Source organism: Homo sapiens, chromosome 4, assembly GCF_000001405.40.
Source record: "Homo sapiens chromosome 4, GRCh38.p14 Primary Assembly".
In the NCBI taxonomy this organism is placed as follows: domain Eukaryota; kingdom Metazoa; phylum Chordata; class Mammalia; order Primates; family Hominidae; genus Homo; species Homo sapiens.
In genome coordinates, this window is record NC_000004.12 from 41,910,208 (window position 1) to 41,935,043 (window position 24,836).

Sequence of the window (24,836 nt, forward strand, 5' to 3'; positions counted from 1 at the left end):
AGAAATCACTTACCTTCTGCTGGGAGGTGTAGGCCAAAGCTCTTCCTATTTGGCTATCTTGCCAGCCACCCCTACAGTAGATTTTTTTTTGAGACAGGCTCTCATTCTTTTGCCCAGGCTGCAGTGCAGTAGAGCAATCATGGCTCACTGAAGCCTCCAGCTCCTGGGCTCAAGTGATCCTCCCACCTCAGCCTCCCGAGTAGCTACGACTACAGGCTCACACCACCATACCAGGCTAATTTTTTTTTTTTTTTTTTGGTAGAGACGTGCTTTCATCAGGTTGCCCAGGCTGGTCTTGAACTCCTTGGCTCAAGTGATCTGCAAAGTGCTGGGACTACAGGCTTGAACCACAGTGCCCAGCTTATTCCTGAACTTTTTAGATTATAATATAGTTAACAGAGTGCTAAATTACTGGAGATTGAAGAATAAGAGTGGAAAAAGAGCATTTGGTAATTTCTTTTTTTTTTTTTTTTTTTTTTGAGACAGAGTCTTGCTCTGTCACCCAGGCTGGAGTGCAGTGGTGCGATCTCGGCTCACTGCAAGCTCCGCCTCCCGGGTTCACGGCATTCTCCTGCCTCAGCCTCCCGAGTAGCTGGGACTATGGGCACCCGCCACCACACCCAGCTAATTTTTGTATTTTCAGTAGAGACGGGGTTTCGCCATGGTCTCGATCTCCTGACCTCATGATCCACACGCCTCGGCCTCCCAAACTGCTGGGATTACAGGCATGAGCCACAGCGCCCGGCCTAGCATTTGGTAATATCTTGATGTTGCTAGTTTTGTTTTAGGAATGTGTTTCCCTCATGAATTCCAGGAGCACAGGTGGTTGGAAGGGCTCTCTTGACAGTGATTTTATAGCTCACCATCAGATCACAGCATAAGACTGAAGGCTTGACTCATCTTTCTTCTCTTGTCCTTAGTTTGTCCATTTGTAAAAGGAGAGAGATTTTGCTGGAGGATATTTGAGGACTCTTTTATCTCTAACATCCCATGAATTGCAAACATTATTAACTACTGTTACCTTTCATGACAGCAGGTAGTTGAATCCAAATTGCATTCTCTTTTCTAGTTAATGTGTTTCAGCCTTCTGCGATTTTGTATTAGACAAGAAATATATGGGACCCTCTTTTTCCTGACATGAGGGAATACAGCTGGTAATTTGCATCTCTCTTGGGGACCTAGATATACTTTCACATCATCTGCTTTCTTCTGAAGACTTGAGGTGTCTGAACAGGATAGTACTAAAGTCACTGTTAAGTCAAGACCAGGCCGAGAAAAACTTCCTTTGTATCTGCAAAATAAAACACACAATGTTTTAATACTAAAGATTTTTAAGCCCACTCTATTGACTAGGAATGGCTTTCTTATTACTACATAGTATATTTTATTTTCTTTCTTTTTTTTTTTTTTTGAGACGAATTCTCATCCTTTCACCCAGGCTGTTGTACGTGGTGTGATCGCAGCTCACTGCAACCTCTGCCTCCCAGGTTCAAGCGATTCTCCTGCCCCAGCCTCCCAAGTAGCTGGGATTACAGGCGTGTGCCACCATGCCTGACTAATTTTTGTATTTTTTGGTAGAAATGGGGTTTCACCATGTTGAACAGGCTGGTCTCGAACTTCTGACCTCAAGTGACCCACCTGCCTCGGCCTCCCAAAGTGCTGGGATTACAGGTGTGAGCCACTGCGCCTGGCTCATAGTATGTATTTTGAAGTATAGAATTGCTGAGAGACCTTTAAACTCATCTCAGCATTTTGCGCGGATGTCTCCAGGACTCTTGCCATTCTGAGCTGAGCACTCCTTGCCCAATTTTTACTCCCCTATCTTCTCCAGCATCTACTCTCCCTCTGACACAGCCCCATACACTACAGGCTTCTACATGGCCATCTTTAATTCAATTCAGCAAATATTCATGGATGCATATGACCTGCCCAGCTCTGCGGTGGGTGTTAGGGATATAATCTTCAATATAATTAGGGACCTACCACATGAATTAACCACAAAGCACTCCTCTGGGTTATGTAAACAAATTGACCTACTGCGTAGGTTCGCTTAACATTGAACACTTAAAAATTAGAAAACCAGTGCCTCAGATTATTTTCTTTTTTTTTTTTTCCACAGTTAATGAAAATTTCCTCACCTTGCTGACATTGGAAACTTTGTCGTGTAATGCTTTGTCTGATTCATGACAATAGAACAATTTTGTCATTATCTACAAGGAAGGACACTTCTATTTAGAATGTTAAGAGAAAACATAGATATTTCTTTCCTTTCATCCAAAAGTGAAAACCAAACTATAAACATATACATTAAAGGAATTGGTGCAGATATGGTTTGAATATATGTCCCCACCAAGTCCCAAGTTGAATTGTAATCCCCAGTGCTGGAAGTTGGGCCTGGTTGGAGGTAGGGCCTGGTGGGTCAGGAGGGTCAATCCCTCATGGTGCTATCCTCCTGATAGTGAGTGAGTTCTCACGAGATCTGATTGTTTATGTGTGTGGCACCACCCCCATCTTGTTCCTGCTCTCACCATGTGAAGTGCCGGCTCCGACTTCACCTTCTGCCATGAGTAAGAGCTTCCTGAGGCCTCCCCAGAAGCAGATGCCAGCACTGTTTCCTGTACAGCCTGCAGAACTGTGAGCCAATTAAACCTCTTTTCTTATAAGTTACCCAGTCTCAGGTATTTCTTTCTAGCAATGCAAGAACGGCCTAATACTGGTGCTAACATACGACATTCATAAACACAAATAAAATAATGTGGTCTGTCAAGAGGCCATTCTGCCCACCCTAGTTCTGTAGATGGGTAATTAGGAGATAGATTTGGCAGAAACATTATTCATCAGAAATCCATGTCAAGTTCATATGCTCTTGGCCTAGCTGGCTCCTGCTCACCAAATCAAAATCTGAATAAAAGTTGGAAAAAAGTTTTAATTTGCCTGGATATATTTCTTCATGAGATAAAAGAAGATATAGCTAAATATTCAATAGCAGAATAATTATATCTGAAATCACCTTGCTTTTCCTGAAATGTATTAAAGCTGCATTTTACAAGAAAGGATTTTGACTTCTAGTTTTGAGGGTCTATCTGAAACGGCCTTTGCAAAGTTATGACTGAGACAGCGAAAGACATCTAACCTAACTGACTCCATCTTTTTTCTAAACTTTAAGCTGTACTTGTTCCTTCCTGGGCATCTGCTGAACTAACTTTGGGAGGAACTTAGTTTATAGTTTAAAACAAAAATGATAACACTCCTCTCCCAAAACAAACCTTCTTGCCTGGGGACAAGAATGCCTTTGTAGGACTAACAAATTAGGCACAAGATTAGAAATTATGGTTTAAGAGTAATGCAGCTGGAGGCTACAAGATTCTGGCCCTCCCTAAACTGCTCCTAACATCAGTGCTTCAGATATTTTGCAGACCCTGCACTTGATGAATCAGCTGGCACACCCAGATCAATAAACTGGCTCATCTGATCTTGTGGTCCCCACCCAGGAACTGACTCAGCACAAGAGGACATCTTCAACTTCCCATGATTTCATCTCCAACTCAACCAATCAGTGCTCTCAACTCACTGGCTTTTCCCCACCCACCAAATTATCCTTAAAAACTCTGATCTCCAAATGCTCAGGGGGACTGATTTGAGTGATGATAAAACTCTGGTCTCCTCCACAGCTGGCTCTGCATGAATAACTCTTTCTCTATTGCAATTCCCCCACCTTGATAAATCCACTCTGTCTAGGCAGCGGGCAAGGTGAACCCACACATGCAATGAACCAGTCTATTTCTACAAGGTTAGATTGTCTAAACTTTCACTGTCTCATAAGGTAGTTGCTAAGTCCAGGTGGCTATTGAGAACTTGAAATTTGGCTAGTCTAAACTAAGATATGTTTTAAGTGTAAAATACACAGTGGATTTTGAAGACTTAAATGAAAAAGAGAATGTAGAATACCTCAATATTTTGTTATATGGATTACATAATAAAATGATATTATTTTGGATATGTTGGTTAAGTAAAATATATTATTAAAAGAAATGTCATGTGTTTCTTTTCACTCTACTAAAATATGTTACATTCATGGCTTCCATAATATTTATTTTGGACAGCTCTGACTTATAATCTATTTTAAAGTACTTCAGCAAAGTCAGTGTGATTGTTAGTTTTCATCCATATTCTACAAATGGACATTTGAAAGCCAACATTCTGGAGACGGCTCTAACATTTCTTTAGAGATAAAGAAATGATAGCAAAGGGTTTTTTTTTTGTTTTTTTTTTTTTTAGACAGGGTTTCTGCTCTTGTTGCCCAGGCTGGAGTGCAATGGCGCCATCTCGGCTCACTGCAACCTCCACCTCCCGAGTTCAAGCGATTCTCCTGCCTCAGCCTCCCGAGTAGTTGGGATTACAGGCATGCGCCACCATGCCCATCTAATATTTTGTATTTTTCCTAGAGACGGGGTTTCTCCATGTTGGCCAGGCTGGTCTCGAACTCCCGACCTCAGGTGATCCGCCTGCCTCGGCCTCCCAAAGTGCTGGGATTACAGGCGTGAGCCACAGTCCCAACCAAAGATATCTTTATCTCTAATCAATCCCAGAGGGCTTATGAGGTAGATTGCATTATTGTTACAAATAAGTACAGCTATATTTGGAGTCCTTCCCTATTGGAGAACTATAGTTCCCACATTGGCTTCGGGCTTGGTCACATGACTTGCTTTGGCCAGCCAGTGAAATGTGAGTGGCAGTGATATATACCACTCCAAGCAGATGCTTTAAAAGTCCTCACGTGGCCTGTCCACTCTCTTTTCCCTGTGCCACAAGACCACATGTCCCATATGGGGACAATTTCCTCAGCCTGGGCACTGGAATAAAGACAACATGGAGTAGACCCTTGAGGGATATGTACTCCAAGAGAGAAGAAACTCTTTCCCCAGAGAGAAGCCAAAAACTAGAGAAAGAGGAGGACGTGGGAGCTAGTAAGGTGTTTGTTTTCCCTTGAGCCCCAAAACCACATTTAAGCTCCTACAGTTTGGCAGATGAGGGCCAGGAGTTGATATAAGTCTTTGGGAGGGACTCCAGAACTGCAGGCAGTTCTACAAGGCTATCTGTATCTAATTTGCTCACTGCTGTGTTCGAGGACCAAACAGTGCCTGACACACAGTAGGAGTTCAACAAACATTTGTTGAATAAATGAATGAAGACCAAAGGCAGATGTCGATTTTGAATGGCTTGAAGTTCTTCTATATTTGGGGATGTTCTTAAAAAAAAAACAAAAAACTCACATTACTAATACAAAGTTAGGTTACAAAAATGAAAATTTATTTAGAATTTCTTTTTTTTTTTTTTTGAGACAGGGTCTTACTCTGTTGCCCAGGTTGGAGTGCAATAGCATGATTTCGGCTCACTGCAACCGACACCTCCTGGGTTCAAGCAATTCTCCTGCCTCAGCCTCCCGCATAGCTAGGACTACAGATGCGTGCTACCATGCCCAGCTAATTTTTGTATTTTTAGTAGAGACAGGGTTTCACCATGTTGGCAAGGCTGGTCTCGAACTCCTGACCTCAGGTGATCCACTCACCTCGGCCTCCCAAAGTGCTGGGATTACAGGCGTAAACCACCGTGTTCAGCCTAGAATTTGTTTAAAATCCAAAATATTAGCAGAGTTTTGGAATAACAAATACTACAAACATCATACAAATGTAGGTAAGTAACACATGCTTATTAATTAACATGTTTATTAATTAATTGCCTAACTCACCTCTATGATACTTTTTTCCCTACATGTTTTAGCTCCAAACTATTTGATCTTCTCTTCATGAGACAACAATTTTAGAATATTTTCCTTTTTTTTCAGCCCTTCCTAGGCTTATACAATCTTATCTTCTAAAGAGAGATCAGAAAGATCATTCAGTCTTTCCTTTAGCATGACTGATTTTGTTTTGTTTTGTTTTGTTTTGTTTTGAGACAGAGTCACTCTGTCGCCCAGGCTGGAGTCCAGTGGCGTGATCTCAGCTCACTGGAACCTCCACCTCCCAGGTTCAAGTTATTCTCATGTCTCAGCCTCCCGAGTAGCTGGGATGACAGGTACCTGCCACCATGCCCAGCTAATTTTTGTAATTTTAGTAGAGGCTAGGTTTCACCATGTTGGCCAGTCTGGGCTGGAACTCCTGACCTCAATGATCCGCCTGCCTTGGTTTCTCAAAGTGCTGGGATTATAGGCATGAACCACCACACAAGGCCGCATGATTGATTTTTTAAATTATTATTATTATAATTGTTTTTGAGATGGAGTCTCACTCTGCTGCCCAGGCTGAAATGCAGTGGCATGATCTCAGTTCACTGCAACCTCTGCTTCTTGGGTTCAAGTGATTCTCCTGCCTCTGCCTCCTGAGTAGCTGGGACTACAGGCACCTGCCACCACGCCCGGCTAATTTTTGTATTTTTAGTAGAGATGGGGTTTCACCATGTGGGCTAGACTGGTCTCAAACTCCTGATCTCAAGTAATCCACCCCCCTCAGCCTCCCAAAGTGCTGGGATTATAGGCATAAGCCACCGTGCCCAGCCCTGATTTTTAAAATTATTATTGATAATTTAGAAAATTTCACTTTAGATGTATATGATATTATTATTATTATTTTTAAAATTTTTTCCAAGATGGAGTCTTGCTCTGTTGCCCAGGCTGGAGTGCAGTGGCATGATCTCGGCTTACTGCAACCTCCACCTCCCGGGTTCAAGCAATTCTCTTGCCTCAACCTCCCGATTAGCTGGGATTACAGACACCTGCCACCATGCCCAGCTAATTTTTATATTTTTAGTACAGACGGTGTTTCACCATGTTGGCCAAGCTGGTCTAGAACTCCTGACCTCATGATCTGCCCACCTCAGCCTCCCAAAATGCTGGGATTACAGGGGTGAGCCGCCACACCCGGCCTACATAACATTATGTACCTTACATAACCTCAGCACCTCACTTGCTGTGGAAAGCTATCTAGGCCCCAGTAAAGCAATACAGTTAGGTTTCAGCCTCCTGGGGCAGCTTAGCTGGAACATAAGGTTATTAGACCTAAGAGGAGCTGCTAAACCAGCTTGGGGCCAAAGCATGGCAGGTGATCCTTCCCAAGCCTACTATGGGACGAGGTGAAACTGTGGGCCACAAGGATTTATGTAAGTTTCCTTTTCTTTTAGGAAAATTTCACTTTGCAAGAGGAAATGTTCTTAGTAGTCTACAGAAGGATAGATTTCCCAGGTTTCTGGTTATTAACAGAAATGTTAATACCCTAGAAAGGTAATTTGGAATGTTTGTACTAGGGATGTCTTGGATTTAAGTATTATCTGGTGTGTTCTCTCTCCTATGCATGCATCAGGCTTGTATTTTCAGCTTTAACTCCTGCTCTTCCTTTATACATACATACTCAACATATTAGCTATGGAACTACCACTAGTTCCCATGCATGCAAACAATATGCTTTCAGCCTATTTATATTTATGTCCATAGTCTAAGTTCTAAATACCCATCAAGAGCTTGCCCAAATGGTATCCATGAAATTCTCCCTGATCTGCCATTACTTTCAACTTTCCAAAAGCACTTGATACGTAATTTTTGACAGCACATGTTACTTTCTTGTTTGCATTAGCTTCTGTGTCACAGTTTGCCTACTGGATTTGAAAGGAAGATTTAGCATTTTTTTTCATTGCCCTCTCAGTACCTAATTCTGTAAATAGAAGTTTTTTCCTGTATTTTCTTCTAAGAGTTTTATAGTTTTAGCTCTTAATGTTTAGGTGTTTGATCCTCAAAAGGTATTTATTGAGCCCTCAATCTGGATTACCCAATGATGTTGGCATATGACACCAAAAGCACAGGCAACAAAAGAAAAAATAGGTAAACAGGACTTTATCAAACTTTTGATACACAGACTTTTGTGTATCAAAAGACATTATTGACAGTGAAAAGACAACCCACAGAGTGGGGGAAATATGTGCACATCATATATCTGATAAGAGATTAATGCCCTCAACATATAAAGAATTTATACAATCCAACAACAAAAAAACAAACAATCTGATTAAAAAATGGGTGAATGACTTGCATAGACAGTTCTCCAAAGAAGACACAAATGGCCAGAGTAGGCACATGAAGAGAGGCCCAATATCAGTAATCACTGGGAAAATGCAAATCAAAACCACAACGAGATACCACTTCACACCCATTAGGATGGCTATAATAAACAAAGCAAAACAATCTCCAGGAAATAACAGTGTTGAAGAGATGGAGGAATTGGAATCCATGAGCATTACTAATGGGAATGTAAAATGGTGCAGCTGCTATGCAAAGATAGTATAAAGCTTGCTCAAAAAATTAAACAGAATTACCATATGATCCAGCAATTTCACTTCTGAGTATGTACCTAAAAGAGTTAAAAGCAGGAGCGTTTTTAATTCTTAGCAAACAGATATTTGTACACCCATGTTCATAGCAGCATTATTCACCATAGCCAAAAGGTGGAAACAACTCGAATGTCCCTTTGATGGAGGCATGAATATAGAAATTGTGGTCTATACATACAAGAAATATTATTCAGCCTTAAAAAGGAATAAAATCCTAACATGAATCTTGAATGATGAATCTTGAAGACATTATGCTAAGTGAAATAAGTCAGACACGAAAGGACAAATATTGTATGACTCCATTCATATGAGGTAACTAGAGTAGTGAAATTCATAGTGTTAAATCAAGTTTAGCCTAAAGCTGCCTCCTTACATATTTTAAGTTTGGTCTAAGGGTTTCTCTGTACATCGTGAACTATAACAAGTGGAGGTGTAAACAGACCATAACCTATACTTGAGCCAATCTCTGAGTTTTGGCCGATCAAATGTAGCCAACGGTTGGAACCAAGTTGAAATAAGCCAAATGCCAAGCTGTAACCAATCTGGCTGTTTCTGTGCCTCACTTCTGTTTTCTGTAAATCACTTTCCCTTTTCTGTCCATAAATCTTCTTCTATCACATGGTTGCACTGGAGTCTCTGAGCCCACTCTGGCTGGAAAGGCTGCCCGATTTATGAATTGTTCATTGCTCGATTAAACTCCTTCAGATTTAATTTACCTAAAGTATGTCTTTTATCAATAGAGACAGAAAGAAGAATGGTAGATGCTAGAATGTGTGGGGAGGAGGATTAGGAGAGTTAGTATCTAATGGGTACAGAGTTTCTGTTTGGAAAATTGAAGAAGTTCTGGAGATGAATAGTGGTGATGGTTGCATAACAATTGAATATACTTAGTGCAACTGAAATGTGTGGCATTTGAAAAATGGTTATCATGTCAATCTTATGTATATTTTACCACCAAAAAGAAAAAAGAAACCATGTGATTACATAGAATCATGGAGAGGGCTTTGGAGACAGCTTCTGTAATTCACAGGCCTCACCTCAGGCAGAGTATACCTAAGCAATCCTTAAAAACAAGGATTTATCAAGTTTAACAAAATTTGCCAGAAATGAGCATCTGTTACTGTTGTCAACCAAATGTCCTGGGTGAGGGGTGACTATCTGGGCTGGTGGCATGGGGGTAAAATAATTTACCAAGACAGTTGTAGGTAAAGAAAGGCAGATTTCCAGCCTGGCCAACATGGTGAAACCCCGTCTCTACTAAAAAAATACAAAAATTAGCTGGGCATGGTGGTGTACACCTGTAATCCCAGCTACTTGAGAGGCTGAGGCAGGAAAATCACTTGAACCTGGAAGGTGGAGGTTGCAGTGAGCCAAGATCATGCCACTGTACTCCAGCCTGGGCGACAGAGCAAGCAAGAAAGAAAGGAAGGAAGGAAGATTTAAAAAAATGTGAAAATACGTTCAGAAGAGGAGGTGACTGCAAGGAAATACAGGCTTGCTGGAGATTTTATAGAATGGTTTTTGGGCTGATTGATAATGCCAAGGTAGCAGGGAGCTTAACTTGCATTCTTCTGTCAGCTGAGTTGTTTGATAAATTGAGGAATTTGATGATAAGCAGGAAGTTTGTGAGTTAGGTATGTTATCTGCGCAGGAGGACTACATATCCTGGGCAACAACAACAACAAAAAGCAGACCTACAGCTTATGTTCTTCCTCTATTTGTTTACACATCCTGGACCATGAAGAAAGGTAGACCTATAGCTTATCTGCTTTATATCTTTGCTTTCCCCAGATCCTGCCAGCCTGACTCCTTTTCCCTAATTAGGACTCCATGCTTAGGACATTCTTCTAGAGGAGGTGATATGGTTTGGCTGTGCTCCCACACAAATCTTATCTTGAATTGTAGTTCCTATAATCCTCACATGTTGTGGGAGGGACCTGGTGGGAGGTAATTGAATCATTGAGGCAGTTACCCCCATGCTGCTCTTCTCATGACAGTGAGTTCTCATGAGATCTGATGGTTTTATAAGGGGGTTTCCTCCTCTTTGCTCTGCACTTCTCCTTGTTGCTGCCATGTGAAGAAGGATGTGTTTGCTTCCCCTTCTGCCATGATCGTAAGTTTCCTGAGGCCTCCACAGCCCTGCGGAAGTGTGAGTCAATTAAACCTCTTTCTTTTATAAATTACCCAGTCTTGGTGCCCTGTGTCCCAACAGCTCTAGCCATGGCTGAAAGGGGCCAAGGTACAGCTTGGGCTGTGGCTTCAGAGTGTGCAAGCCCCAAGCCTTGGCAGCTTCCATGTGATGTTGAGCCTGTGGGTGCACAGAAGTCAAAAATTGAGGTTTGGGAACCTCTGCCTACATTTCAGAGGATGCATGGAAATGCCTGGATGTCCAGGCTGACGTTTGCTACAGGGGTGGAGCCCTCATGGAGAACCTCTGCTAGGGCAGTGTGGAAGGGAAATGTGGGGTTAGAGTCCCCACACAGAGTCTCCACTGGGGCACTGCCTAGTGGAGCTGTGAGAAGAGGCCCACTATCCTCCAGATCCCGGCATGGTAGATTCACCAGCAGCTTGCAACTTCCACCTGGAAAAGCTGCAGACACTCAATGCCAGACTATGATGGAAGCTGGGAGGGGTCTGTACCCTGCAGATCCACAGGGATGGAGCTGCCCAAACTGTGGGTGCCCACCTCTTGCATCAGCATAACCTGGATGTGAGACATGAAGTCAAAGGAGATCATTTCAGAGCTTTAAGATTTGACTGTCCCACTGGATTTTTGGATTTGCTTGGGGCCTATAGCACCCTCATTTTGGCCAATTTCTGTATGGAATCAGTCAGGGTGGTGGGAGAAATTATAAAGATAAAGTTATAGGAAATAGACACAAACCTTCTTGGAATGCTGGGAGTTTTGCATAGCTTCAGTAAAAGATTTGACTGAAGGCAGCTGAATTCTCTTAAAAGCTTACATAGGAATGTAGAGGAGTTTATCTAAATAGCTTGTTTACTCATGTGGTCCTAAGACTATCCTTTGATCATCTGTGGTGCATAACTGCTCTCTACTTGGGAGGTCGGCAATGTTAATTACCCTCTAGTGGTGTTTACTCAAGACCTTTGTCATTTAATCTGTACTAAATAAATGCGAACTTCTCTGGCTAATTGAGGCCATGGCTGCTGACTCTTCACAGCACCCTCCTCAGGGTCTGTGAGTGGCCCCGTCCCCTAGCCCGCTCCTTCATTGGATATCTGTGTCTGAGTGCATTTGTTCATCAGTCACTGGGTCAGGGTCTGTGGGTAGGACTCGGCACTCCCATTTGGAACAAGCATATTTACCCAATGCCTATAGCTCCATTGTATCTAGGAAGTAACTAACTTGCTTTTGATTTTACAGGGTCATAGGTGGAAGGGACTTGCCTTGTCGCAGATGAGACTTTGGACTTGGACTTTTGGGTTAATGCTGGAATGAGTTAAGACTTTGGGGGACTGTTGGGAAGGCATGATTGTGTTTTAAAATGTGAGAACATGAGATTTAGGAGAGGCCAGAGTTGGAATGATATGGTTTGGCTGTGTTCCCATCCAAATCTCATCTTGAATTGTAGTTCCCATAATCCTTATATGTCATGGGAGTGACCTGGTGGGTGGTAATTGAATCATGGGGGCAGTTAGCCCCATGCTGCTGTTCTTATGGTATTGAGTTCTCATTAGATCCGATGGTTTTATAACATGCTTTCCCCCATTTTGCTTGGCATTTCTCCTTCTTGCCATCATGTGAAGAAGGACGTGCTTGCTCCCCCTTCTGCCATGATTGCAAGTTTCCTGAGGCCTCCCCAGCCCTATGGAACTGTGGGTCAATAAAATGTCTCTCCTTTATAAATTACCCAGTCTTGGGAAGTTCTTTATAGCAGTGTGAGAATGGACTAATATAGCAGGGGTCCCCACCCTCCAGCCCACAGACCAGTACTAACCTGTTAGGAACTGGGCCTCATAGCAGGAGGTGAGTGCTGGGGGAGCAAGCATTACCACCTGAGCTCCACCTCCTATCAGATCAGCAGTGGCAATAGATTCCCATAGGAGCTCGAACCGTATTACGGACTGCACATTCAAGGGATCTAGGTTGCATGCTCTTTATGAGACTCTAATGCCTGATAATCTCAGGTGGAACAGTTTCATCCCAAAACCATTCCCTACTCCCGTCTGTGGAAAAATTGTCTTCTATGAAACCAATCCCTGATACCAAAAAGTTGGCGACCACTGTTCTAGAGAACTAACTTAAAATCTTCATAAATAGTTTACTTAATCTCTTCTTTCCTTTTGTTTTCTTTTAAAATGTATTTGTTGAGGACCTCTATTCCATATGGCACTATGCAGGAGATATCATGGAGAAAAAAGTGGTAGCAGTATAGACAGTGATTAAACACAGACTCTGGATTTCAATGCCACTTTTATCCCCCTGTTATCTATGGGTGCATTATTTAACCCCTCTGCATCTCAATTTCCACATATATAAAATGGGCACAATAATACTACCCATCTCATAGGGTTTGTGCTGAATATCTTCTGTTTGCCTCTCCAGATTCATTCTCCACACTTCTCCATCCTGTTCTTGACCCTGGGAATTTGACCTGCTTGGGCTGCTTCAATGAATTTACTTGCTCTCTGGCTTCAATTTGGATTTGGCCATTGGGGATCCCTGGTAGGAGATCAGAGGGAGGTAGGAATAAAGAGGTTGGGTTTTTGTTGTTGTTGTTTTTAGAGACAAGTCTCCCTGTATTCCTCAGGCTGGAGTGCAGTAGCTTTTCACAAAGGCAATCATAGTGTACTATAGCCTCAAACTCCTGGGCTCAAGTGGTCCTCCTTGTTCAGCCTTGCGAGTAGCTGGGACTATAGGTGCAGCCAGTTTTGAGGTTGAGTTTTTTACCCCAGCTTCCTCCTTGTAGGGATGCTGCAGGAATGGCTGCCTTCCCGACCAGAGGTTACAACTGCTGCCACTGCAGCACTCTCTACATGACTTCCTTTTTCTGAGTTTCCATGAACATCCCCTCCCTTTACAACATGTGTTTCTAACACAAAGCTGCCTGTAAAATTGAGCTGCAGACATAAATAAGCAAGCTGGAAGCTTGCATGGGTGAATGTTAGCAGCTGTTCCAATAGGAGAAGCCTACCAGGGGGCTAGGCATGTTCAACATGGCGGCTCCATCTTCCCTTTTCCTTGCCAACCACATGAACAGTAAGGAGCAGACAATGCGGAGCTGGTAAAGTAGAGAAGCCACTTGCATAATAGAAGACTAGGGTGGGATGGCCAGCTTCCTCTTGAACTATGTAAATGTCTCACCTGGTCCAACCATTCTTTGGGCCCTGTGTAGATCAGATAGCTCCTCCCCAAGCCAGTCTTTAAAACCCCTGTGCACTTCATCATGGGACCAGAAGACCCACTTGGGTGCCCCTCTCTCTCTGCAGAAAAGAAAGCTATTTTCTTTTCTCCTTCTTTCACCTATTAAACCTCCACTCTTAAACTGACTCCTGTGTATCTATGTCCTTGATTTCCTTGGCATGAGGCAACGAACCTCGGATGCTACCCCAGACAATGACGCCACTTCACTGTGATGTCTGGCTTAAACTGGAGCTGGAGCAGCAGGGCTCCATCCACACCAAAGGCTGCATGGGTCAGTTTGAGAAACGGCTGCTGGACAACCTGATCGTCATTACCTAGGTCTTTGTGAGTATCACCTTCCTTCAGATCTTTGGCATCTTTCTGGCCTGGAACCTCCTGAGTGACATCAAAGCAGTGAAAGGCAACTGGTGAGTCTGCCATGGGCCATTGCCACATGTCCAGCTAATTGAGGCCTCTAGTGGGCACCCCCCTCCCCCATGGAGGACCTTCTCCTACTGTGTTGGTGATGGGCAAGGCTGCAGGAGGTATTTCTGCTTGGATCTGAGTCCTAAGTGGGGTTTGTATGTACAGGTGCACTGTCCACCCACAGAGAAAGCCACTGTGGCTCTGCTGGGGCTGCTTTTCCTGGAGCTGTGGGCAAGGAAGGTGTGCATGTCTACACACACACATGTACATGCATGCACAGGAGAGCCACCATCTCGGCTATTGTTAGGACGGCAGGCTCGCCAGAGGACTAGAAAAGGCATAGCTACAAGCGTACAGGCGGTCGGGCAAGGTGGCTCATGCCTGTAATCCCAGCACTTTGGGAGGCCGAGGCAGGTGGGTCACGAGGTCAGGAGTTTGAGACCAGCCTGGCCAAGATGGTGAAATCCCATCTCTACTAAAAAAAAATACAAAAATTAGTCAGGCATGGTGGTGGACACCTGTAAGCCCAGCTACTCAGGAGGCTGAGGCAGGAGAATCTCTTGAACCCTGGAGGCAGGGGTTTCAATGAGCCGAGATCGTGCCACTGCACTCCAGCCTGGGTGACAGAACAAGACTGTCTCAAAAAAAAAAAAAAAAAAAGAAAGAGGGTACAGGCCAGGTGGGGTGGGAGGCACTGTTGTGGAGGCATCTGTCTGTGTCTCCCCTTCCCCCACTCCATGCTGAGACACACTTCTCTGTGCATGGCTGGATGGGGCATGCTTTGGGGCCTGCTGTTGCCTGGGCCACTGCTTCCTGCAGCTTCAAAACTGTCATCTTTATTAGCTATACCTTGAGCCTGCCAGGAGTCCACCTCCACCTCAGTGTATTAGACTCTGTAATTAGCCCAAGAATTTTTTCCCTCTCTCTCAGCATGCCTCTCAGGAGCAAACATGATAATGGCTAGAAACTACTCAAATAAACGAAACTTTGAAAACCAGGGAAAAAAGTAGATTGTAAAATTTCTCCAGGACCCAGTTAGATAAATGAAAAGGTGATTTTAAACAATTCCCTTGAATTGATTATGGTGCAAAGTTGAGTTTCAAGTGTCAGGGAGAAGCAATCTGATCTCCAACTTTCAACCACTAGCCATTACAGTCCCAGTGAGGTCCATCTCCTGTGCCTGTTGAAATTTATAAGAAGATGGAAGAGAGTGGGGGATAGACTCACTTTCTGAAGCTCTAGAATATATTTCTAGTAAACATATATTTTTTCTATGTCTAGTAGCTAAGTCTCTGATACATTTTCAAAAAAGGTAAAATTTGACAATATAATTATGTAATCTTTATAAAGTAATTATTTTATTTTATCTATAGAATAAATACATGTCAAAGATTTTGTGTAGCTCATTAATTAATGAGGGGACTGGGAAGGCTGTTAACACTGATTCAATGGAGAAGTCAAGATTACAAGTTTTTTCCTTTTTTTTTTTTTAAGAGAGAGAGTCTTGCTCTCTTGCCCAGGCTGGAATGCGGTGGCACAATCATAGCTCACTACAGCCTTGAACTCCTGAGTTCAAGCAAACCTAGTTAGGACTACAGGCTTGCACCACCATGCTTGGCTAGTTAAAAAAAAATTTTTTTTTTTTTTTTAAGAGACAGGAGTCTCATTAGGTTGCTCAGACCGGTCTTAAACTACTGGCCTCAAATGATCCTCCTGCCTCAGCCTCTCAAAGTGCAGGGATTACAGTAGTGAGCCACCACACCCCATTCAAAGACTACAAATTTATATAGAATAAAGGAATATTGAAATGAACTTACAAATAGAAACAAAACTGGATTTTTATATAGGAGTAGATAGGCAGAAAAGTCAATTCAGTCTCCATTTGGCAGAATTTATTTGCATGTCTATAGATGTGGTAGGCAGAATAATACCACCCTTCCCTGCCTCTCATCCCAAGAAGTCCACATCCTAATCCTCAGAACCTGTGAATTTCTTAAATTACATGACAAAGGGGAATTAAGGTTACAGATGGAATTAAGATTACTAATCATCTGACCTTATAGGGAGAGTACCCTGGGCTAGCCAAGTGGGTCCAAAATAATCACAAGTCTTTAAAAGTGGAAAAGGCTGGGCCAGGCATGGTGGCTCACCCAGCGCTATGGGAGGCTGAGGCGAGCGGATCACCTAAGGTCAGGAGTTTGAGACCAGCATGGCCAACATGGTGAAACCCCATCTCTACTAAAAATGCAAAAAAAAAAAAAAAAAAAAATTAGTTAGGCATGGTGGCACACGCCTGTATTCCCAGCTACTCAGGAAGCTGAGGCAGGAGAATCACTTGAACCTAGGATGTGGAGGTTGCAGTGAGTGGAGATCATGCCACTGCACTCCAGCCTGGGAGACAGAGTGAGACTCTGTCTTAAAAAAAAAAAAAATGGGGAAGAGGATGGCAGAAGAGAGTCAGAGGGGGTTGTGCCTATAGAGAAATGTTCAGAAAGATGAAACATTGCTGGCTTTGAAAACGGAGAAAGGAGTCCAGTAATCAAAGGTGAGCTCTAAAGTTGGAAAAGGGAAGAAAATTAATTCTCCACTGGAGCCTCTAGAAAGGAGTGGAGCCCTGCAGACCTTGATTTTATCCCAGGGAGACCTGTGTGGGACTTCTGACCTTCAGAACTATAAGATAATAAACTTGTGTTATTTTAAGTCATGAAACTTGTCATAATTTGTCACATCATCAATAGAGAGGTAATAGATAAGAAGTAGTTGCATTGCTATCATTTATTTACAATTTAAAGAGTTTAAAACATAGCCTAGTCAGAGACAAAGATACACTGATACAGCATCAGATAATACCCAGTCTTCAGCATTCCACTGAACGTGCACCTATTCTAAAGTCTTATAGTTTTTCTTACATTACCAATTTTTAAAGGTAACAATAATTTTCATTTCTTAGTTAAGACCTCATGCTCAAGCTATAACTGCAGAGCTTATGGAGCTTACTTTTCAGGCAGCAAATAAAAGTAGGAATGTATTACTAATGAAATGAATGACTTAGCACTTAGCAATTGCAAAGATACCCTATCCAACTACAGAATTATTAATCACTGATGGAAGCAGAAATGAGCAAATTGATGACTTGATGGTTCAGTAGAATCCCCCTTGAAAACAGGGGGGAGAGCCAAGTCATCAATAACTCTGGAATCAATTCTTGTTTCATCAGCCAATTTCTAGCCAAATGGAATAATGGCCTCTTGGTAGTCAATTGCTTCAGCTTCGGGGTTTGTGTTACATTTGGATTTTCTTACCTTCAATTAAAATAAGTTAGATAACACTTAGGAATTCACCCTGACCCTATGGAGGGAGTGTAGCAGAATAATTTTTTTTTTTTTTTTTTTTTTTTTTGCTGTACCTGGCGTCCATACATTGTTCTTATTATAGCAACACACAGAGTGTCAAATGAGGTTCATCCAGTTGCCAGCTGCGAATCTCTATCCGTATAGGTTTGCAGCAACCTCAATTCTTGCCACCTCAGAAGAAAGAATTCAACCGAGAGGCAAATAGCAGAAAGGAATGAAAGGAAGTAAAGTATACTTGGAGGAGGGCCAAGTGGGCAACTTGAGAGATCAAGTGCATGGTTTGACCTTTTCACCTGGGGCTTAGCATGTTGGCACACTTCTGGGATGTTGCATTACTCCTCCCCTGATTCTTCCCCTGGGGTGGGCTGTCTTGCTTGAGCCTACTCGCCCAACTCCTGAGATCTTATCAGGAAGCTGCTGATCACCAGTTTCAGGTATTTTCTATCTACTAGGAGACTGCCCTTCCCTGGTGCTTACTGTAACTAATTATTACTCTAGAGAGACAGTAAACAACAGCCCAACCATCCCCTGATGCTTACCCAACACTCCTGGTGTGTGTGGGGATGGGGGTGGGGTGCCCTTTCCTGTCCTCCTCATACTATGCTAGCTATCTGCTGTAATGACCTTGCATACATTCCCTTCAGAACTCTCCATTCAAACAAGAGTGAGTGAATGACCCAAGCATGGTCAATCTGTCTCTTAAACTAAATGATTGGTGTAGAAATTTTTATGGGACCAAATTTGATCCAGTGAGAATCAAGCCTGGCTCATTAAATTGAAAGTATCAAGTAAGAGGCACTTTCTACAGGCTAGTCTTACTAATCTGGTGGTATATGGACTAAAGTTGAAGAAGAATCAACTTGACAATGAAGTCAACTCAGAGAGAAGCAGAGATAAGAACACAGTTTTCTTTGATGTCATTTGGGCTCTTAAATATACGCATGTCTACTAAAAGATTGTCTACCTCTGATCTTTTCAGAGTAGTCATATTATTTTGCCTTTTGTCCCCTATAAGTCTGTTTGGGCTTAATTTCTGTCACCTGCAGTCAAGAGAGTCCTGACTAAGACAACCATGTATACTTGAGAAGTTATCTCATTACCAAGAAGAATGATCAAGGAAGAAAGTAAAGAAACACAGTAGGGGCTAGGCGCAGTGGCTCATGCCTGTAATCCCAGCACTTTGGGAGGCTGAGGTGAGTGGATCACCTGAGGTCAGGAGTTCGAGACCAGGCTGACCAACATGGAGAAAACCTGTCTCTACTAAAAATATAAAATTAGCCAGGTGTGATGGCGCATGCCTATAATCCCAGCTACTCGGGAGGCTGAGGCAGGAGAATTGCTGGAACCAAGGAGGCGGAGGTTGCAGTGAGCTGAGATCGTGCCATTGCACTCCAGCCTGGGTAACAAGAGCAAAACTCCATCTCAAAAAATAAAAAATAAAAAAGAAAGAAATACAGTAGGAAAACAGTAGGAAAAAAGACAAATTCCAATGGTTAAAAACAATAAAAGAAGAGATTCAAATATTATCTATACATTAAACAGAACACAAAACATAAAACTATTAATGATACTTTTTGCAGGAAAAAAGATAGATGTCATTGCATTCAACAGTTAAAACCAATCGTTAAAATATCTTACCAGAACCAAATATCTTGGCAAAGTGGCTTCAACTTCTTCTACTATGGCATCAGTATATTTTATATTGTATCTAAATTGCTTGAAACACTGTCCTGATATCCACATCAGCATTTATGGCTTTGGTTGAAACCTGGGGAAATGACACAGAAATGGGGAAAATACAGTCTGCCTTTGAAATGCTTATGCTTTAGGGGAAGAACAAAAGAAGAAGAAAATCTAGCTGTCGGTAAAATTGAACACTGTAAGGATAACTGTAGTACAAATCTAACAAAGTTGTTACCTTCTGATTTTTATTCATTCAAAACAAATGATTACTTCTTAGAAGCCTTTTTAAAACCTCCATTATAGGCTCACACTTGTGGTCTTTATTAGTCTATATTCAGCACATCTGAGAATGCAGAAGAAGCAAAGAGTGAACTCAAAAGAACTCCATTATTAGACTAATATGATTAAGTTGATTCAGTCAGCAAAAGGAACTCAACCTATTAAAAAGAGTTTTAATGGGGAGTATCATCTTTCAATAATCAGGCAGGGAAACTATGGACCATTTGGAAAGCAACCTGGTTTGTGCCCCTTTTTCATTTGTCTTCATTTGGCAGATTCAGAGTCATGGCCTAACAGTTTCTACTTCAGCTTGGGGTCTAAGGTTGCAGGACAGATTGTCACACCATCCTTCTCCTGTATAGTCATTTAGTATTTTTATTTAGCTTTGAAAGGGAAATGAAATTTTTCAACTCATATTGAGGCAGGAGAATAGGGTCTGGAGGCAGGGAACCTAAGGCCATTTCATGCTGATTTCCTAGAACTAAATTGAAAGGAAAACCCTAACTTTCCATGCCTAAGTAATAAACAGACCAAAGGCTATCCCTTTGCAAACCCCCCCTTTTCTGCGTGGCAGATGGGAAATTGGTTGTCGCAACCAATCTAACTGACTGAGGCTCACTCAGTATTTGTTAGTGTGAAAGTGCAACTTTGTAACTTCACCTTAGCCTTCACCTTTGTAACTTCATACATAGCTACCGACTAAACTGTGTTCCCCAAAATTCATATGTCAAAGCCCTAACCCTCAGGCAACTGTATGTATTTGGAGACAGAATCTTCAAGAAGTAATTAAGGTGAACTGAAGTTATAAGGATGGGGTCCTAATCAGATAAAACTGGTGGCATTATAAGAAGAGAAAGAGAGGAAAGGGAAGGTGAAGATGTTTGCACAGGAGTGTGACCTTTGTAACTCCACTTCAGCCTCTGATTGGCTGCACAAAGCAACTGATTGCAGGCCACCACTTCATTTACATGATGTGAGCATGAAGTGGCCAGTTGGAAACCCAGAGGGTATTTGGACCCGAGAAGATTCTGTATCGGGCAGCTCCCACATTGTGTAGTATACTTTCGTTTTCAACAAATCCCTGCTTTTGTTCTTTCATTGCTTCATTCTTTCTTTGTTTTGCTGGGCGTTTTGTCCAATTCTTTGTTCAAAATGCCAAGAATCTGGACAACTTGCAGTCAAGACCCTCTACCAGTAACAATATAACAAAAAACTAGTATCAAAACACAATTTTAACAAAACTTTTTAAAATGCCGACAAATCAATAATAATGGACCACAACAAAAGACAAACAGCTCAATAGAAAAGAGGCAACAGAGGCCAGGCACAGCGGCTCACGCCTATAATCCCAGCACTTTGGGAGGCTGAGGCGGGTAGATCACGAGGTCTGGAGTTTGAGACCAGCCTGGCCAACATACTGAAACCCCATCTCTACTAAAAATACAAAAAATTAGCCCAGCGTGGTAGCAGGCACCTGTAATCCCAGCTACTTAGGAGGCTGAGGCAGGATAATCATTTGAACCTGGGAGGTGGAGGCTGCAGCAAGTCGAGACTGCGCCATTGCACTCCTGCCTGGGCGACAGCTCAAGACTGTGTCTCAAAAAAAAAAGCCAACAGGAGAGAAAATCTGAATGGCCAATAAAGTTGTGAAAAGATGCTAAGCCTCACTACTACTCACGAAAATGCAAATTGAAAAAATGACATACCATTTTATATACCTAATCTTGGTAAGAACTAAAAATAGCAAATTTTGGCAGGGATTAGGGCTATTCTCATACACTAAATACAACTACTTAGGAGAGTAAACTTGCAATTATTTTAATATGCAAAGTTGAAGATATGTGTCTTAGTTGTTTCACTTTCATTTTACTCTTTAACAAAAATATCAAGAAACATTCATGAAATTACACTCATTCATCAATGGCAACTGTATATTGCTATGGATATAAGAGTTCAGCAAAATCAAAAGAAGTATCTGTGAGATTAATTAGCTATATGGAATTTACAATAGAGAACATTTTGTATTTTAATATTTTTGTAATAAGATGATCCTTTAAATCAGTAAAAAAATATGTACTTACATACATATATATAAAATATATATAGCTATGGACTGAATTGTGTCCCTCAAAATTCATATGTCAAGACCCTAACCCTCATGTGACTGTATATATTTGGAAACAGGATCTTTAGGAAGTAATTAAGGCTAACTTAAGTTATAAGGATGGGGTCCTAATCCGATAGAACTGGCGACCTTATAAGAAGGGGAAGAGAGGAAGACAGAGATCATTTACCTCCTCCTAAATTGAGCACACAGAAAATGGCAGCTGCCAGCGGCTAAAATGAAACTTACCTTGTTGGCACCTTAATCTTAAACCTCTCAGTCTCCAGAACTGTGAGAAAACAAATTTGTGTTGCTTATGCTACCCACTTTATGGTATTTCGTTATGACAGCCTGAGTTGACTGCCATAGACACACACAAACACACACACTGGCAAGGAGACATATAATTCTAAGAAATGTTAAAAAATGTAACTGCTATAAAAATATGGAGTAAATGATATGGGAAGAGTGCAGAGGAGGTGGCATTTTAGCTCAGCTAGGAGGATGAGTAATCCAGGCTAGAGATCTGAAGGACCTGAACTTGGGCAGTGGCCTTAGAAAAAGAGGTTTGTACTGTTTCAAGAGAACCCCATTTGATTTCTCGGCTGCATCTGACTAGCACCTGGTCTGCCCATGGATACTAGAGGATAACCACACATCTGACAGAGGAAGAGCATTACAGTCTCATGGTTTTCCGACAGGGTGCCAGCTTTCCCGTGGGTCCCCAGTCCACTCCCTCTCCCTAGCCCCTTCATATTTGATTCTCAATCTACTGCTCTTCTCATGCATTTTTTTCTACACTTCTTCAGGTCTCAGCAGATGGCATTCCCCTTCCTACACACCCATACCTAGTTAGTCACCACATCTTAGAAGCCACCTCCAAGTCATCTTTCCTCTTCTTTTCCCCAACAACACTGCCTCAATCCAGAATCTCATCACTTCTTTCCTACACGTATGTGTTAACTTAAAACTCACAAGATCTATATGTTCAGAAAAGGAGACTTTATTTCTTATAAGGAGATACAGCCTGCAAGGTGGCCCTCTCATGGGCTGGGAAGCACAGCCTCCAGCAAGGACCAGAGACAGGCACTTTAAAGGAAGAGGAGCTGGGGTAGGAGCTTTATGCTGAATAGGTTGGCTAAACATACATATTCAACAGGTTACAGGAAGAGCTATGAATATTCATAAAAGTAGTCCTGATACATGCGTATGGAACAACATGCATGTTACATACAACCTGTGTTCACCTTGGGGTGGAGACTTAATATTTAATGTATTACAGTTAGGCTCTGTACCTCAAAAGGTGAAGCAGAGACGAAGGCACACAAGTGCATGGCCTCTGTAAAGTGGCCAGAACCAGCCTATGGTCAGTGGTCTTATCTGGAGAACGTTACTGAAATCAGTCTCTTGTGCAATCAAAGCTGTAGCTATGGTTGGTATAGCAGGGGTTCAGTTAGTGTCTGTGAGCTGGATTAGTTGTAATTGTTTTAATATTGCTTCTCTCTAGGCCAGTGGTTGTTTAGCTGCCAGAGGGAAAAAAAAAACCTCTTGTGGTAGAACATAGTTTATTTTTTAAGTGTAGGGGGTGCATGACTTAACCCTTGCCTGGCATGGCCTTAGGTCCTGTTTATAATTTGGTATCCTATTCCCACAAAGAGTTTGTTCTGTCAATGTTATGATCTTTATTGTAACATTAACATGTTAAACATAGGCTGACTTCCTAGAACTAATTTGAAAGGAAAACCCTAACTTTCCACGCCTAAGTAGTTGCTAGTCAGTTGTGTCTAAACTACAAAAGGGAGGGGGTATAATGAGGCATGTCTGATCTCCTGTCCCATCATGGCTGGGGTCCCCTTGGCCAAGAAAGGGATCTATCCAGTCAGTCGACAGACCCCTTACTTAGGATTTTATTTTTAGTTTATATATATATAAATGGCTTCACAACGAATTTCCTGACTTTTAATTTGCCCCTCTGTTCATCCTCCACCCTGTTGCCAGAGAGAACTTTCTAAATCTCAGGATGTCACACTTCTGATTAAAATTGTTCCATGGTTCTCTGGATTTCAGGGTCAAGTTCAGATCCTTTCCTCAGTACACCCCTGCCTGCCTCTCTAGCGCAAATCTTTCACAATCCCCTGACTGGTACCATCATTCTGGTCACACTCAACTAGTCCTCTCGCTGTCCTGTTACTTCTTGCACTTTCTGTTACTCTGTATGGAGTTCCCTTCCCGTTTTAAGGCAGAAGAATATGGTATGGCGGTAGGGAACCTAATGCCCTTTCTCGCTGACTTCCTAGAACTAAATTGAAGGAAAATCCTTACTGTCCACGCTTAAGTGAATAAAGGGCCAGATACTACTCCCTTTGCAAGCCCCAACCTGTTCTGCGCAGATTTGGGAAATTGAAAGTACCTCTGATTGGTTGCTTTTTGTAACCAATCAGACGTTTGCATAGAAGTGTAACTTTGTAACTTCTTCAGCCTCTGATTGGTTGCTTTGCGCAACCATTCAGACTGATTGCGGGCCACCACTTCATTTACATGAAGTGAACTCCAAGTGGCCAATGGGAAACCTCTAGGGGGTATTTGGACCCGAGAAGACTCTGTATCCAGGGCCCTTGAGCTGCTGTCTCACTCTCCCACACTCTGGAGTGTACTTTCATTTTCAACAAATCTCTGCTTTTGTTGCTTTATTCTTTCCTTGCTTTGTGCGTTTTGTCCAATTCTATGTTCAAAACGCCAAGAACTTGGACACCCTACACCAGTAACACTTTCAGCCAACTTTTTGTCGTTCAAGATCAAGGCCCGGACTTACCTTTTCCAGGAAACCTCCCCAGATCCCTTCTGATTTAGGTACCGTCCTCTGTGCTCCCTGTGATTAAATCAGCCTCTACACATATTACACAATCACTATGCTCTGATTTCCGTTTACTTGTTTCTCTTTTGCAATCTGTGTCATATTCCTCTTTTTATCCGCCGTGCCAAGTATGGAGCCTGTCACATAGCAGGCCTCATAAATACTTATTGAAAGAATTAATAATAGACGTAGAACCAACGGGCTTAGTAAGCCCCTGGAGAAAGGAATCAAAGATGTTTCTGAGGCCTCTATATCAGGAAGTGCGGAAATTTCATGGTTTGAGAATGGGCAGGAAAGATCATTTGTGAGCTGTATTTAATGCAAAAGTTGCTCCCCCATCCTGATTTCTTAGCTCACTGGGCCAATCGGCGGAAGGACAGGTGGGGCTCAAATTAG

The 24,836-nt window shown here is 42.3% G+C and overlaps 1 long non-coding RNA gene across 2 annotated transcripts, besides 1 other annotated feature; it reads right to left on the reverse strand.

Annotated features, from left to right (window-relative positions):
• Positions 1 to 239: 239 nt before the first annotated feature.
• Positions 240 to 24,468, reverse strand: LOC105374426 (uncharacterized). 2 transcript variants are annotated; one of them, NR_188374.1, is made up of 3 exons: positions 24,399 to 24,468; positions 19,159 to 19,288; positions 240 to 1,291 (listed from the first exon to the last, which is right to left on the reverse strand). It is a non-coding gene; the product is annotated as an uncharacterized LOC105374426 (long non-coding RNA). The 2 variants fall into 2 exon arrangements; NR_188375.1 differs by lacking the exon at positions 240 to 1,291 and having other exon boundaries at positions 16,925 to 19,288.
• Positions 2,678 to 3,877: an enhancer, noted in NCBI's record as "P300/CBP strongly-dependent group 1 enhancer chr4:41914902-41916101 (GRCh37/hg19 assembly coordinates)". NCBI's record gives its function as "activates an origin of replication core promoter dependent on BRD2, BRD4, P300/CBP, MED14 and CDK7 cofactors, with strong dependence on P300/CBP, by STARR-seq in HCT116 cells {active_cell/tissue: HCT116}" and the evidence as "EXISTENCE:reporter gene assay evidence [ECO:0000049][PMID:35650434]".
• Positions 24,469 to 24,836: the final 368 nt, after the last annotated feature.